General features: G+C 33.9%; 1 long non-coding RNA gene across 1 annotated transcript; it reads right to left on the reverse strand.

The window, feature by feature from the left end:
• Positions 1 to 1,586: 1,586 nt before the first annotated feature.
• On the reverse strand, positions 1,587 to 17,942 carry LOC105378881 (uncharacterized). Its single transcript, XR_947658.1, has 4 exons — positions 17,748 to 17,942; positions 14,577 to 14,675; positions 7,103 to 7,324; positions 1,587 to 1,769 (listed from the first exon to the last, which is right to left on the reverse strand). It is a non-coding gene; the product is annotated as an uncharacterized LOC105378881 (long non-coding RNA).
• Between the last annotated feature and the right edge of the window lie 426 nt (positions 17,943 to 18,368).

Here is an 18,368-nt window from a genome sequence, read left to right on the forward strand (position 1 = left end):
GATGCTGATGCTTTACTACTCAGAACACTCTTTATTGTATTTATTTACTTATTTTAATATTTACAAATAATAATTATGTATATTTATGGGATATACACTGATGTTTTAATCTATATAAACGTTGCAGAAAGTTAGATCAAGCTAATTTACATATCCAGCACCTCACTAACTTTTTTTTGTGGTAAGAGGGTTAAAGGTCTATTCTTTCAGCACTTTTGAAACTTTATCCTTAGATCAACATCTCCCTTTTCCCACGATGCCTCCTCCCCTAGCCTCTGGTAACCACCTTTCCACTCTGATTCTATGAGGCTGACTCTTGTAGATTCCAAATATAAGTGACATTATACAGTATTTGTGTTTCTGTCCCTGGCTTATTTCACTTAGCACAATGTCCTCCAGGTCCATCCATGTTGTTTTACAGGATAGAATTTCTTTCTTTTTTAAGGCACTATAGTATTTCCTTGTGAAAATATACCAAATTTTCTTTATTCACTCATCTGTCCACGAGCACTTAGGTTGTTTCTATTTCTTGGCTGTCATGAATAATGCTGAAATAAACATGGATGTTCAGATATCCCTTCAACATACCAATTTCAATTCCTTTGAATCTATACCCAGTAGTGGGATTGCTGGATAGTATCATAATTTTATTTTTAGCTTTTTGATGAATATCCATACTATTTTCCAAAATGGACATGCCAATTTACATTTCCACCAACAGTGTGAACATGTTCCCTTTCCTCTACATCCTCACCAATATGTTATCATTTGTCCTTTTAATAGACATTCTGACAAGTCTGAGGTGATGCTTCATTGTGGTTTTAATTTGCATTTCCCTGCTAATTAGAGATGTTGAGCATTTATTTCATATAACAAAAGCAAAAATAGACAAATGGGATTGTATTTAACTAAAAATCTTCTGCACAGCAAAGGAAACAACAGAGGGAAGGGAAAACCCACAGATTGGGAGAAAATATTTGCAAAGCAGATATCTGATAAAGGGCTAATATCCAAACATATAAGGAACTCAAACAACTCAATAGCAAGAAAACAAATATGCACATTAAAAAATAGACAAAAGATCTAAACAGACATTTCTCAAAAGAAGACATAATAGCCATCAGATCACACTTTAAATACCAAGAGCCTATCCTTTTCTTGTATTTGGAACCAACTGGATCCAAAGAATATGGGGCAGAAATATTTTTATACCCCATCCTTACTAGTGCAAATACATATTTTGGAAATTGTACCTCATTATAATATGTACCATATCCTTTGAAGGTTTATTTCTCCAGCTTTCTGAATGCTGCACCCATGGCATTTGCTCTTCATGTTTTTCAAGGTACCTGCCCTTTGTTTGCTTTTTGTTGTTGTTGTTGTTAAGATAGAATCTTGCTCTGTTGCACAGGCTGGAGAACAGTGGTGTGAACTGCAACCTCTGCCTCCCAGGTTCAGGTGATTCTTCTGCCTCAGCCTCCCAAGTAGCTGGGACTACAGGCACGTGCCACGAGGCACGTGCCACCATGCCCGGCTAATTTTTGTATTATTACAGGGTTTTGCCATGTTGCACAGGCTGGTCTTGAATTTTTGTCTTTAAGTGATCCGTCCACCTCAGTCTCCCAAACGGCTGGGATTAGAGGTGTGAGCCACCTTGCTGGAGCCTTTGTTTACTCTTGAATCTTGTTTGTGTTTTAAAGTACTTCCATGTCAAGATTAAATTAGGAATTTGTGGTGGTTTTATTTTTCTTTCTTGTTTTCTGTGATTTCTAGAAAGAACAAGGAAAATATCTAAATTACATACTACTTTAAATTCTGGTCTATTTCTATAGTTTCATAATTAAATTTAATTATAGTCAGAAGATGCCTTCTCCGTTGTTTTATTTTTAAAGTAATTGAAACTTACCTCATACTTGGATAATAGTCAACCATGCATTCTTTAATTATCAAATTGAACTTTTAAATTAGGTATTGAAAATTATATATTTATATTGATTTTTGCTTGCCCGATCTATTAAATCTTAAATGTGTTCTAATAAGTCAAAATAATTATGAAGTTTCCAATACCCACTTGCTGTATATATTTTAGTTTGATTTATATATTTTGAAAATGTTCATGTAATTTCACATGAATACAGAAAACTATTTCACATAAATTTATTATGATTACTGTTAAATTTGTGATGATTCGTAGCATTTTGAACTTTCTGTCATGATTCATTTACAGTTATTTCTCTTTTCTTGCTTCGTTTTGACTTAAGTATTATGTATATTTTTTGTACACAGTCGTGTAAAATATACACTGTATTTTTAGTATTTGAGTGCTCATCCTTAAAAGTTAAAGATAAATGTTAAAAGAAAGATAAAATTAATCACACATTTATAGATCTCTCATTAACTGTACAAATGCTGTATAATACTTTAATTCTGATTATCATCTGCATTTGCTAGGGCTGCAAGAACGAGGTACCACATACTGGGTGGCTTAAACAACACACATTTATTTTTCCATACTGCTGAGGGATAGAATATTAAGATCAACATGTCACCAGGGTTTGTTCCTTCTGAGAGTTATAAAAGAAAAATCTCTTCCAGGCCTCTCTCCTTGACTTACAGATAACCATCTCTCCCTGCAGCTACACATCATCTTCCCTTTGTGTCTCTGCCTTAATTTTCTCCTCTTCTAAGAATACCAGGCATATTATACTGAGGCCCACCCTAATGACCTCGTTTAACTTGATTACCATGTATAAATATAGTTGTAGAAGGTACCATTTATCCCTACCATAACTGATTTGCCTGTTTTATTTTTATTTTTACTTTTTAATTTTAATTTTTTTTTTTTTTAAGACGGAGTCTTTCTCTGTCGTCCAGACTGGAGTGCAGTGGTGCGATCTCAGCTCACTGCAACCTCTGTCTCGTGGGTTCAAGCTGTTCTCCTGCCTCAGCCTCCCTAGTAGCTGGGACACCCACCATGACACCTGGCTAATTTTTGTATTTTTAGTAGAGACGGGGTTTCACCATGTTAGCCAGGCTGGTGTCGAATTCCTGACCTCAGGTAACCTGCCCGCCTCGGCCTCCTAAAGTGCTGGGATTACAGGCGTGAGCCACCAAGCCTGGCCTTTGCCTGTCATTTTTACCTAGATAATATTACATATATTTGATAAAGTAAATTTGATATCATTCTTTTTTATCCAATCAATGTAATCACAGATTGAACTATATGTTTATATATTTTTTTAAAAACTTTGAAGAGAATGCTATCAGTGATATTGTCCTTGATTATCTTTCATTTAAAATATCTTAAATGATAAACTTTCGTTTAAGAAAGTTTTATTATATTTTGAATTCTTTGGATTAATAACTATATGTTGAATAGTATCTTGTGCAAACTGAATTATCTTTATCCTACTTTTGATCTGTGCTGTTATCTATTTCTAAGAATTGTAATTCTATTTTTCTAAAAATATCAATTATTTATTTAAATAGTATTTCCTCTCTATTATTCCATTTTCTCCTAAAAATATGAATATACATATATTAGTTCACCTCAGTTTAGCCTCTTGTATCTTTATTATTTCTCCTTTATATCTTTTAATCCTGTACATTTGTTGTTTGAATATTTTCTAAAAATCTACCTTCTACTCTACTCATTTTCTTTTAACTATCATCTCATTTAATTTTTCAAAATATTTTAAATAATCTTTATTGAAACATGATTTATGTACAAAATATGCTGGCTATTTAGATTATATACGTTGTTGACGCTTGACCCTAAGTCAGCAACACAACAAACACCACGTACAATATTTATATTATCGGCCAGGTGTGGTGGCTCACATCTGTAATCCCAGCACTTTAGGAGGCAGAGGCAGGTGGACCACCTGAGTTCAGGAGTTCGAGACCAGCCTGACCAACAGAGTGAAACCCCATTTATACTAAACAAAATACAAAATTAGCCAGGCATAGTAGCTCATGCCAGTAATCCCTGCTACTTGGGAGGCTGAGGCAGGAGAATCCCCTGGACCCGGGAGGCAGAGGTTGCAGTGAGCCAAGATTTTGCCATTGCACTCCAGCCTGGGCAACAGGAGTGAAACTCCATCACACACACACACACACACACACACACACACACACACAAAAGAAAAAAGAATATTTATATTATCGAAATTTTATTCAGAATTCTTTCCATTCAGTTTGCCATCTACTCTTCAATTCAGAAAACCATTGATCTGTCCTTTTGCTTTTTTTTTTTTTTTTTTTTGAGACAGAGTTTCACTCTTGTTGCCCAGGCTGGAGTGCAATGGCACGATCTCGGCTCACCACAACCTCCACCTCCCAGATTTAAGGGATTCTCCTGCCTCAGCCTCCCGAGTAGCTGGGATTACAGGCATGCACTATCACATCTGACAAATTTTTTGTATTTTTAGGATTACAGGCTGGAGCCACCACACCCAGCCCCTTTTGCATTTCCTAGAGTTTCATGTATGTAGAATCAAACTACATTCACTCTTTGTGTTTGTCTTCGTTCATTAATATGTTGTTTTTTTTATTTACCTATGCCACAGTAAGTATGAATAGTTTTTGACTTTTTATTGCTGATGCTTCAGAATTTATTTAGTCACTTGCTAGTAAACAATGACATATAAAAAAAAAAGTATCAAGACATACCCATGAGAATGACCAACATTAAAAAGGCTAATATTAGCAAATGATGATGCAGCTGTGCAGTACTGAAACTCATATATTAGTAGTAAGAATGCAAAATTGCACAATCATTTTGAAGAAACGTTAGCCAATTTCTTATGAAATTAAGTGTAAAACTACCACATAACCAAGGATATGCTACTTCTAGGTATTTAACCAAGCAATATAAAAACATGCACCTGTGTGTGTATATATATATATTATATATATGAGACTATATTTTACAAATCTACATATATAGATATAAGAATATTTATGGGAGTGTTTCTTATAATAGCTTAAAATGCATAAATTATGTTTTAAATGTAATTGTTTTTAAATGTTAGAAGTAATATTTTATTTAATTTTAAAGTTTTATTTTCTATGGTATCTTATTAACAGATTTTCTATGTCTTTCTTTTAATTGCAAGTCATTTTTTAACTTATTTTATCTTTCTGATCATTCTAATTTTGAAGGCCTTAGATACCTACTTGTCACATTTTATGTTTTTGTTGACTTTCTTAATGGCTAGATTTCTTGTCAGTAGCATAATTTTTGAAAGTCAGTGTTTATTTTAAGCTCTACTGAAAAGGAGGACAAAAGTGTCTTAAGGTGTTCCCCTTCTGCTGAGTACCGTATAGATATACATTGGGCCACCTTATTCTAATAGAATCAATTTATGTAAATGTCCAAATAAAGTAGGTGATATATATATATATATATATAGAGAGAGAGAGAGAGAGAGAGAGAGAGAGAGAGAGAGAGTACACAATAATTTGTGGCTAGAGCAGTGATTTTAAATTCTCAGAAGATAATTTTATTATTTTATTAGTATTATTATTATTATTATTAACCAAGAGCCCAAACTAAGATAATATATTTTCTTTCTTCTTTTCCTGGTCACTAGAATATTTTCTAGACAACTTTTCTCACTGTGTAGTACTTGAAGTACCCTACTTTTATATGGGAGTCTGAGTTGCAATTCTCTGTCCTGGCTGATTGGACCCAAGTATTTACACTATTTTTAATTTTTAGTTCTTCAGAAAAAGGATTTTTCACACTATTTATTCTGTATTTGACATAAACCTAATTCAAATTTGGTAAAGTGTGTTATTTGTTCATAACTATATTCTTCCTCATTGCCATTTCTGTAAATAGAGTATGCTGGCTTTCCAGTGGTGTTAAATCTGATCTTGGCCATACAACCTGGTTTGATTAATGGAATGTGAACAGACATGTTGTATATTACATCCAAGAAAACATTTTAAATGCATTTGAGTGGTTGTGCTACTTCTTCATCTGGAGTCCAAAATAAGATAATATATAGAAAGGTTAGAGGAGCTGTACCCGACCTCCTAAATCTAAACACTAAATAAATATTTGTTGCTATTATCCACAATCAACTTGGGATTTGATGTTGCCATAGCAAATGTTGAATAATACACAAAGCAGCATGGCTTTCATTCTATCTTGATTCTTTATTCTCTTGTTACTGATAAGACTAATACTATGCTTTTGTGACTACCTCTATATTTTCTAAAAAGTTAGTCTTTTAATTGCCTCAAATTTAAAAAATGCATGTTATATTTTCTCCATTTCCTGAGTTTCTAAATGAGGAATTACATGGCCTATCAGGGACACAATCATCAACAAGATCTCTCATTTTACGAAACAATGATCAAAGAGTATTTTATTTTATTTTTCACTATCTCAAATATTTCTTTTCTGTTTAATAAACGAGATTATAAATTCTTATATTATGCATATGGTATAGGTACAAAAAAACCTCGAAAAAATACAACTAAAGATTTTTTCTGAACTTTTGAATCCTAACAGATTTAATACTAAATAGTCCAATAGAGAAAATTGCACAGGACATCTCATACCCTCTGTGCTACCAAACTAGATAAATGATGCAGAGGACAAACATCATGGTAATTTTCACAGATGAAAAAATAGGAAAATCCTGGATCTACACATAACTTACAGTTTACAAACAACTAATAACTATCTAAGGACATATTGAATGTTTCATTATATTAAACTTTCCAAAGAGGACAGCTGTACCAGGGAAAGATGGATAAGATAGCCATAGATTTTTATTTTCACTAATTTAGTTACTGAAACTTTCATATTATTATTTACTTAACTGATATTATTTATTCATTATTTAAATGGATACATTTTTTAAGGCAAAATAAATAAGTTGGAGTAATAACTAGACTTGTGTTCTATAATATGTGATATAAGATTCAATGCATCAGAATCACCAGGGATTTGTTTTAAAAATGTGGATTCTAGGACCCTACAGTAGACTCACACAATCAGAGTTACTTTGCTGAGATACAATAATATTATTTGTAATTATTATAACTGATGCTACTAATGAAGGAGAGCAACTGTAGATAATCTAACCTTCCAGAGAGTGGAGAATCTGTTCATGATTAGCTGCTTATTTCCATTTGTCTTTTCCCCCCAACTCTCGGTCACCTTTGCTGAGAACACAGAAAGCAGCAGAAAGCAGCTTTTAGCAGACACATGTTGCTGAAGTAATAAAGTTGTATCCTGAAATACTCCAAATATGAGCATGATTTTCCCTACAGAATACTTGCCAAGTTCTGAAGCTAATGCAGGAAGCTAGGCAAAAACAAACAAACAAAAACAAAATGAAAACTTCTGAAATGTAGAATGAAATCTCTGTCTTAGAAAACATGTTGAGGGGCGGTGTTTACCCAAAACACATGACCATATTCCCCATCAGGAGGTTTACTAAAGTGTGAAGTTGGTATGAGAAAAACAAAAAAGTAAGCCACAACTACTAAAGTACAGGGCCTTACCTCCTGTAATGTTTTAGGGCTTTGGTGACCCAGACATACTAAGTTTTTAATCAATAAACTGAATGAACTATACCTGGGGATTAAGTATGGCTCAGAGGTAGACTGAGTGATACAAAAACTACAAAAAAAAGTCCTAAATCAGCTAAATCCCCGAATGATTTCAAAAATCAGCTATTCATTGTATTGGCCTGATCAAGGAAATGGATACCTCCTCTGGTTAAAGACAACATCAACTGGAGCTTCTCAGTTTATTTTATTCATAGTAAGTCATTTAAAAGATTTGATATTTGTGTAGATTAAATGTCCTATAACAAAAAAATACAGTAGAAACAGGGAATATTGCTATTCATTTTATCACAGAAAGAATTTAAGTATGACTCAAAAATTTATGGACATAAGGAAAGGATGGGAGAAACAGAAAAGACGGAGAATTTCATGTTTTAAAGTGGAACCTAAGTACATAAATTAAATGGGTATACTAAAATTAAAATTAAGAATCCAGAAAATAGGGTTAACAGCTAATTGGACATACATCAAAACACAGAATTTGTGATCTGGAAGACAGGTGAATGGAAAACAATGAAACTGAAGGACAAAGAGAAAAAAAAGAATTGATACATTAACAGAATATAAAAGAGGACATGCTCACAACTTCTATTAATAACCTGTGTATAATTGGAAACTTAGGAGGACAGGAGAAAGTGAAGGAACAGCAATGTTTTTGATAAATATCTAAAAGTGCAATTCAGAGACTGCATTCAGAGTTTCAAATATCTTAGTATACTGTGGTAGGAGTTATTAAAGTTATTTTAAGCAGATAGAGAGGAAAAGGGGTCCTTGGAGAGTTTTCATTTTTAAAACAGCTCTAGAAATGTTTCTCGTCTAGCATGAAAGCCCTGGCCCTTAGGCCAGGCCAGCAACCTTTGATATGCAAATGCACGCCATTAGAAACTGGGTCTCCCCAACATGGTGAGTCCCACCATTGTCTTCTTGCCCTTGCCCGCATATACGCCTAGCAGCATGGCTGCCCCATATATCCAACGTGTGTAGGACATCATGGTGCCCTTCATTTGCATATTAAAAGACTGGGGCGGAATGGCCAGCTATTTTGTGGGCTACATGAATGACGTGCCTGGCCAAACCAATCCCCTGAGCCCTATGCAAATCAGACACCTCTTCCTCCAGCCATCCATAAAACTGACTGGTATCCCCCAAATGTCAGGCCTTCTCTTATGGTTTTGGAGCCCCCCTCCCTCTGTCTCTGTACAGGGGAGCTTCTTCCTTCTGCCTTCTTCCTTCTTTCTTGCCAATTAAACTCTCCACTCCTTAAAACCACTCTACGTGTGTCCATGTCGTTTCTTCCAGTTCAACTTGAAACGGAGAACCTGGTGTTACTCCACTCATTGGAGGCATATCAATACTACAAACAGGATAAATAAAAATGTCATCATGAAATTGTACAAAACCAAAGATAAAAACAAAACCTTAAAAGTAGCAAGAATAGGCTGGGCGCAGTGGCTCATGCCTGTAATCCCAGCACTTTGGGAGGCCAAGGTGGATGGATCACGAGGTCAGGAGATTGAAACCATCCTGGCCAACATGGTGAAATCCTGTCTCTACTAATACAAAAATGAGCCAGGTGTGGTGGCATGTGCCTGTAGTCCCAGCTACTCAGGAGGCTGAGGCGGGAGAATCACTTGAACCTGGGAGGTGGTGGTTGTAGTGAGCAGAGATCACGCCGCTGCACTCTAGCCTGGGCGACAGAGTGAGACTCCATCTCAAAATAAAATAAATAAATTCAAAAAATTTAAAAATAAATAAATAAAAATAAAAAGTAAAAGTAGCAATAATAAATAAAACACATTACTATCAACACAGTAACATTAAGATTGACAACTGACTTCTCAACAGAAACGTTGGAAAACTGAAAACACATCATTGCATTTAAAGTGTTTAAAAAGAATAACGGCCAACTTGAGATTCTATGCCTTAAATTCAAGGCAAATAATTACATGTTTTAGTAAACAAAACCTGAGAGATTAGTCACTAGCAAAGTTTCATTACAAGAAATGGTAAAAATGAATTCTTCAGTCAGATGGAAAATAATTTTGGTTGAAAAAGTTAAGATAAAATGAAAGTATGAAAAGGGATGTATCTTTCAAATAACCAAGAAAGAAAGAAAATGTGGCAGTATTAATATCATAAGAAAAATATTAAAGCAAGTAACATTATCAAGGAAGAATTGCATGGTCAATATTATCTTTAATACTTTATTTTTTGCATGGAGTTTTTATACTTTTTAAAATTTACCTAAACATTTTGTGATAATTAGTTTAATTAACACTGTTATAAAATACACAGATATATTTAATGGAGCACAAGTAAACTACAATATTTCACACGAAACAAATAAGTGATTTTTAATTAATTAACATTTGCAACTCCCTGTGCTCCCTCAGGATATCTCAATGACACATAAACTCCTGGCATACAGACCAAGTGACTAATGAAACTTAATGATTATTAATAATCATTAAATCATATTATTAGTAATCATTAAATCATATTACCCTCAGAAACATAGCATTAAGTTTAAGAATTCAAACACATTGATTCAATTGGGACACAGTTTAAGAACTAGAAAAAATGAATCCGTATGGATTTAGAAATCAGGATAGTGATTACCCTTGGGGAGAATTATTGCAGCAGGAAATGGTTATAAAGGAGCTTTCAGGGTTCTGGTAAAATTTCTGATCTAGGAGATTGTCAAACAGATATGTTCACTTTGTAAAAACTTATGCTTTACAATTATGAGTTTTACACATTCTTGTATGTATACAATATTTTGATAAATTTTGCAGAAAACAATGCTTATAAAATATCTTGAGGGGAGAAAATATCACAAAACAATGCTTTACTAAATTTGGCATATTTTCTGTGCATTACTACTAGTAAATTAAGCAAAATTAAGTTACTTTTATTTATTGTTGGCCTTTTCATCATTTCAAAAAATTATTAGAAAAGTTTTTTTAAATGTTTCAAAATCTACCAATTTGGATGTAAGGAATTTGCATAAATTTGAAATACATAGTATCTAGGCCTCATAAAAATGAGAGCAGATATAGTTATCTGTTAATAATGTTAAATATTAAATTAAATTTTATAAGGATTTTAATAAATCTTCAGGTTGAGCAAAAACAATTTCTAACTGGAAGCTAAAAAAAAAGAGAAGAAAATAAAGAATAAATGAAATAAAAGCCAATATCTGAAGGCAATATATACATTTTAAAAATGGAAACAACAGAAATAATCATTCTCCTGCAACTCCTCCATGCTATTCATGTTAAATTAAATTTTATATGACTTTTCTTCTATTAATTTGCTTTTTGTTAGTTGATTTTCAGCAAACCATCAAAGGGAAAGCGGGTATTTTTCTTTGACCCCTGCAGTTTTGTTGCTGTGAGCAGGATAATCAAAACTGCTCTAGTCTGCTGCAAGTCAAAATTAAGGAAATCAAGGACCTGACAAATTAATAGAAGAGAAAGAATCTCTTACCAGTCAGGATCCTGGTCTGTTTCTGTGGAATCTGGTTGAGTGAATGGTAAAAAAAAATCTCTGTTTGTCTTCTTTTCCTCTCTAAAATGTTGATTAATGGGAGAAAAACATTTACACAGGCTATCTTCAGGTGCAGCAGTATAAATGTTTATAATGTCTGACCCTATTCCTCCCAGAAACAGTCTTTTTTTGTTCCTTCGTGACTGTCTTCCTGTGTCATTTTGTCATAAAAAGGGATACCATAGACCCTAATATGAAAGCTAGATGAGATTCCTCTCTAGTCTTGTTTATGTCCTGGAGAGCTTGACTTGTGACAAAGTAAGAACACTCTTGGACTCACTATCTGGGGGATATAATTTTTGGTCACTTCTGGTGACTAGTCTGAAAAGATTGGAAACTCTGAAACACCTAAGATCTTAAGCATCTCACTCTGTTTCAAATGTGCAAAGCCCTCAGGGGTATTTGTCTTAATAATTTCTCTCCATAAAGGGCTTTTGTTGTCTTAAGTCTTGTTGCCTGGTTAATCTTAGGATAACTATATCCCAGGAGGACCTATTCAGTGTTCTGGATTCATGGGTCTGTGATTGGGAGCCAGCATTCCTTTGTGGAATGCAGAACTCTTTCTATGTGCAAACACCACTCTTAACTATTTGTGGCTACAAGAGTATTTTGCTATCTTAATCTACTTGTGGAAGTGAATTTTTTGGGGTATGGGAGGCTGCATCTTTTGTGCCCATTTAAAAAATGTTCCTTTTGTCCATTGTATTCTGAATCTGGAACGTTACCTTTGGGACTTCCCATGAAAAAGTCTTATTGGCTTAGGTCACCTACATAAGGAATAAATTGTGTTTTAATAAAGAACATTTTTAAAAGAGCTCTTGTTCTAAACAGCTATCTTATTGGTACCTATGAATAGATACAAAAGGGAAATAGCCTTAGAAATTCACTTGGCAAGACTTTTGAAAGAGAAAAAAGAAATCAGATTTAAACCTAAATCTCGAACTTCTTGCTTTGGAACCCCTGAATGATTTACAAAGAATATACTCCAGCATGCAGTCTAGTGGTTAGGATTCCACAGTTTTACTACTGAAGACTATGTTTGATTTTTGGTGAAGAAACCAGTCCTTTAGAGATGCAAATCCTTTAACTCGGGGGGTGGGTGGAAGTGTATAAAAATTAGTTTGATATTTGTGTGACTTGTTTTTTTTTGTGAACCTATTTGTTATTGATCCTTTTCCCTTTCATGGACAGCTACTGTTTTTTTGTCATACTTCTTTGTGAACTGAGAACTTGGTTTGGCTTACTTCCTGTTGGGGGAATGCAAGTTATCATGTTTGCTTGTGTAGAAACACAACCAAAAGCTTGAAGACATCATTAAAAAAAAATCAAGATGGCCTGACAAAACATTAGTTGGACCTCATTTGCAGCTAGCATACTGACTATTGCCAGTCTTAAGAAGTTAATCTAAGTCTCCTTTTTCTCTTAGTTGTCTTTGGGGAGTGGGTCTAGATTTTGTGAGGACAGCTTCTTTATACCTCTTTAAGGACAACTTATGAATTGTTGGTTAAGTCAAAAAAAAGCTTATTGGTTTCTGTTTTTATTTGAGAAGCTTTTGTGGTTGCTTGTTTTTTTTAATGAGCTTTATGTGCAAAATTTGGCTTAATTAAAAGCTGATATTTAAGCTAAATATATTTTTAAAGACCTATTTGCTTTTTCTCTTTTGGATCTTATTTCTTCCCTGAGTATTTTTTTTTCAGTCAAATGAATCCCTTTTTTAAGCATTGATGTTCCATTTCTTTGTTGCTTCCTTCCTTGTTGGCATAACTTTTGTTGAGAAAAATGTAAAACCTCATTGACCTTATTGGGAAGTTTAAAATCTCCTCAAATTGTCTTCTCTAATACTTATTCTACAATTTACTTCTACTATGCCTTCCTTTTTTGCTACCTTTGATATCTCATGAAGAAATCTAAAAGGGACTTCTAGAAGCACTGAAACCCCTTGAGGAACACAAAGTAAAGGTGTCACACACTCTCTTTTGAGGGACGTTTCTGTCTTCCTCATGAAGCCCCAAGATTCAGGGGCAGGTTCTCCTGAGGCCTAAAGCTCTGATCTGTTTTGCATTGAGTTCCCTGATTTCTTGGGCTTTTGGGGGTTAACAGGAATTACTACATACTGTGAGAGAGAACTTGACCTGTTGGTGTGTAATGGTTGGTGAGTCACTGGAGAGAGGACTGTAATTTTGGAGATGACTGATAGCAGTTGCAATGAATGATTATTACCACAGGATGGTATTCATTTTTTGTACATTTAGATACTAAAAGCACAGTTTGGATATGTGGGGGCTATGAGAAAACTCACCACTGAAGTATGAGACTTCTATGGTTGATGGGCTAATCACAAAGCAGGCTGATTGAAATCAGATTGCTTCCTAGCCTTGGGAGAATGTTCGTACAGAGAAGGGCACTGTGGAAGCATTGCACAGCCTAGCTGAGCGACATTTCTCTTGAGCATTTGTTTCAACTCTGGTTAATACAGGAGTTAGTGCAAAAATTAGATTCTTGATTTCTGTGGATCTAGGTGCTCTGCCTTCCAGCTGCACCCGCTTTTCATATATATAAAGAGTAGGCCCTGGAAACTACAAATGCTTTGTTGGCATTATTCATTGATGGGCTTTGCCCTGACCTCAGTGGTCTAGTTGAAAATGAAGACTAAATTGGAAACTATTTACGTAACTAAAAATTGGTCTCTTTATGGAATCCTGTGTTTAATCTCTATTATTTCTGAATTACCTTGACATCAATTTTTAGTCTTTCTCTAACATGCTCAAATTTATCCTTGAAATAGCTTAAATATTCTCTCTGTGCTCTGAGATGTAATTTGTTACCCTCTTTTATCTGAAACTTGATAAAGGTTTTGGCCATGGGGGACAGATAGACTAACTTTTTCATTTACGGAGACACGGTTTAATCCAACTACCCTTTTAAACTTGTGAATTTTACCTGTCTCATGGAAAAAAAAATTAAATCAAAGTTATATACTATTTATGCTTGTCTTTACTTCTATGTATATATGTGTACATGTCTTTGTATTTTGTGTTTGTGGTAACAAATTAACTTATAAATAAATGAGTACTCATAAATTGAATAACTAACCCAAATGCTTTTCAAGTTCACATGACTTTAGTAATATTTGATAAATAAACTAGTTTTAAAATTGTTGGTAAAATAAATTAAAAATGTCTTCAGAATTTTAGACATTTTTGCCTAGGTATACTGGTCAGACAAAATTTATACTATCTCTACTCTATGTTTTTCTGTCATAAAACTGTTCCTTCTCTGATATTTTTGATACTTCCTTGACTTATCTTTGAGGATATGTCTTATTTTGAGCCTGTAGATTCTGATTTCTAGAATGGCCATGACAAGGCCTCCACACATACATGTGTTTATAGTATCTGCACCAAGAGATGCAGGGCAGGCCCAAGCTCAACATTTACCAATCCTCCCTGGTCCAGCTCTGCCTCCTGGCCATGCTGGGAGGTGTTGATTCTTCAGGCATTGTCTTCAAGTTCTTTCCTCTATCTTTGGCTCTGCATCTAGTATGTAACAATTAAAACTGATTACTTCCTAGGTTTTTCACCGAAAATTATGATTAAAATAGAGTTAAAATTATAATCAACAGATGTTATTAAAACTAATAGATATAAACAAACAATTTTGTATACAGGGTATATTAAAAAGGATATATTTTTTATAAGGAAGGTTATACAAAAGATATAAAGTTTTGGCTTTTGTTAAAGGAAAATTAATTTTGTCCAGATTAGAGGTTTCAAATTGCTGTTTCAGAGAAATAAAAATAATGTAGATAGAACTAAATAGGTCCAGAAAGTAAAAGGAAAAGAGTATTTCAAAGTTTAGTGTTGTTAAACTGACCAAAATTTAATAAATTTATCATATAGATTTTAAAATTGAACCTTAACATACACTAATGCAAAGTTAGAATTTGATTTTCTCTTTTGAACCAGATTTTTGTGTAAATATTAACACAATAGTAAAGATTTCTTATTTAACTTTTGAGTAAACTGCAAATAAAAAGAAAGAGAAAAAAGGAGAAAAGGAAATATAGATTTTATATTAGTAATGCTACTCTTGTTAGGTCTATAATTATTTAGGCAACTATCTCCTCCTTATCAAAGAGTAAAGTTTTTGAAATATTTTCATTATTACCTTGGCTAAAATACTATTATTTTATAATTATTTTATTTTGATCAAGTGTTTTACACCTTTGATGTATTTGACATACTGCCCAATATCAAATTTCACATTATAAATTAAGTCTATTGACATCAAACTAACTTTTGGACCTTCCAAAAGGGACCTTGGAAGTCCAGGAAAAGTATTTTAGGCTAATCTGACATGTTAAATTATACAGAAAGAATATTCAAAAAGGGAATTATGTTTAAATGTTTTTTGAGTCATATTTGTATAAATGTATTAACATATGTTACAAATTTATATGAGAGTCTTAAGTAGCTGATACGTTCAGAAATGTGACATAGGTAAAAAGTTATGGCAATTCCGTAAAATTGCTATAGACCACAGAAGATAACCAAATTCTGTTATCAATCACATCATTATTATAAACTCTTATGAGCTCTTTCACTGTGACCATCTAAGTGTTGCTGTCCACAGTTCATTGCCTTCTTTTTAAGCTTCATCTAAAGCATCTTTGCAATAAACTGTAATCCTAAATATTGTATCTTCAAAGAGATTCCTTTAAATAATAAAAAGACTGACAGTTACTCTGAAATACAGACCTCTGTTGATGATTTTGGGATTATTCAATTAGACTATGTAAGAATTTCAAAAATTCCAATGGAGAGTAAAAACTGGACTCATAAATTTGGTCACGTAACATCAAGCAGAACAAATATTAATTACATGTGAGTGAATTGGTAGAGGACTGAAATAATTTCTTATTTTACTTTGATTTGAAACATTGCTGATTTGTTTGTTTCTCAGTAAAGAAAACTGTTTCTTAAAAAGCTACTTATAGCTTACAGCAGTTGGGTAAAGTATGCTTTTGTGAGCATAATTGAAACATTTATCTTTCTCTTTACGTAATCCCCCAGAATTTAGCAATTATTCCTGAGTGTTCTTATTTTATAGCAATATAGTTATTTGCATAAGTTCAGTAAGAATCTGTACACTTTTGTGGCAAGACACAATTGAAATCACGCGTTACTTTACTGAGGCTTTGACTGAAATGACACATTTTCTGATATGACCACGTTTTTTTGAGTAATTGAAGTTGACCTTTCATGGAGCCAATACAAAGACTCTTGGAAAAACTTGTCTGGTACCTTGTTAATGTGGTTCCCTTACCAGGTTCCTGACTTTGCAGTAAGTAAACGATGTCAATTTCTCACATATCTCAAGATATTTTGGGGGCCTCGAGAAGAGAGGAACTCACCCAATATACACAAGTGTCATAGATACAGACTTTGCCTTGGCTCTTAAGCCTCAGGAGAATTTTAAAAATCGAATCTGAAATTTCTTATGAAAAAATCTCAGTAAATTCAACTTAAAAAGTACCTATATGGCCAATCACTATTTTTACTGAACTTTATGCAAATAATAAGCCCAAGTATAATAAGATTAAAATATATTTTGCAAATAAATTGCTCTCACCATGATTTATCTTCAATAGAGATAGGGAACTGAAGAGAAAAAAAAATATTTCATGAAGAAAACCTGTAGTATGACTGTTACTAGATTCTGGCACTGCCCATTTGTTTTTGAGATTTTTTTATTATCTGGACTGAATCTTAAACTTTTAATTCCCTAAAATATATGACTATGACTCTCCAGACTCACATCTCCAATTATTTTTCCCACTCTTTTCATTTAAAATTATTAGAAATTAAATGTGCTTTTCTTAAGATTCTACAAACTGAAGCTAGAAAACTTGATATAAACATGGAGAGAAATCACTATAGCAACTTCTATATGAAGAGCCTGTTGATGTATGAACTACTTAGAAAGTGCGCCAGAATACCTGATTTGAACCAGAATCCAGAAGTCTGTCAGATTACCACTTCCTGCTCACTCTAAGTGAAGATGCCTCAAAGACTCCCCCAAAAAACCGATTTATAGACTACTCCAAACATTAGCTTTGTTTTTCTTCTATTTCCATAGAAATGCTTTTTATTAAAAATCTGTTTTTCTGGGTTATATATAGGGTCCTACTTTTGAGATCTTATCTGCCATTTTATTTCCTGATGAGACACAATTGTTTAATTGGACTGGCTTATTCCCAGAAATGGGAGAGTCATTTAATCACATCCTTTGTCATTCAGATATTTACTTAATTTTTCTCCCCACGGACACTAATTCAGCTTTTAATGTATTAAAAAGTATCATTGAAATCCACAGAGGAACAAGGAGAAGCTTATTTCCTATTAAAAAAAAAATCTGCCGATTGGAAAGGCACAACTTCAGTATAAGTGAAAGTCTACTCTCTGATGAACAAAGGTAGAGTGTGGCTTAAATAAGGAAAGTTCTTGCCCAGGTTCTTAATCAGGTCTATTTATGCAAATGAAAGAAACAAACTTGTTCAGTTCTGACTGGTCAATAAATTTTGAGCCCTGATTATATGGTTTCCATACCCAAAGGAGAAGTCTCCATCAGATGTTTCTTGCAAATGGCCAGTGGGTGGTTGAGGAGGCTCGGGCCACAGTTGATCTTGGCACCAACAACAGGAACTGGTTTGATTTGGTTGTAGAAAAGGGGGTTCAATGACACTTTCACAACATTCTTCTGAGAACACAGTGTATGACCCCTCTCTCGCCCAGCCATGGATGTTTCGTTCTGTTTTAAGTTTGAGCACCACAGTGAGTATATTTTGTCTGTCACCTTGGGGCATTCTTTCACAAATGAAATTTCTAGGAAAGTTTTAGAAATGAAAAATGTTGGGGGTCAGAAAGCAACACCACAAAGACTGGCTCTTTGATATGAGTAGAGGCTTTAAAAGCTGCCGAACACTCAAGGTGCCTCTAACCTTCTCTTGCGGCCAGGGAGGCAATCACACAGAGGAGGAATCACTCTGGCATTTGCTTATCTGACCATGGAAGCTTCTTTTCAAAAACAACACAATTACTGTTCATCACCTCCCTCAAATCTCATCTTCTATCACAGAAAAAAAGACTGAGGGGCCAGGCGTGGTGGCTCATGCCTGTAACCTTATTACCCAAAAGGGGTCCAGATCCAGATCCCAAGAGAGGGTTCTT

The sequence above is a fragment of the Homo sapiens genome, chromosome 1 (assembly GCF_000001405.40).
Source record: "Homo sapiens chromosome 1, GRCh38.p14 Primary Assembly".
Classification (NCBI taxonomy): Eukaryota; Metazoa; Chordata; class Mammalia; order Primates; family Hominidae; genus Homo; species Homo sapiens.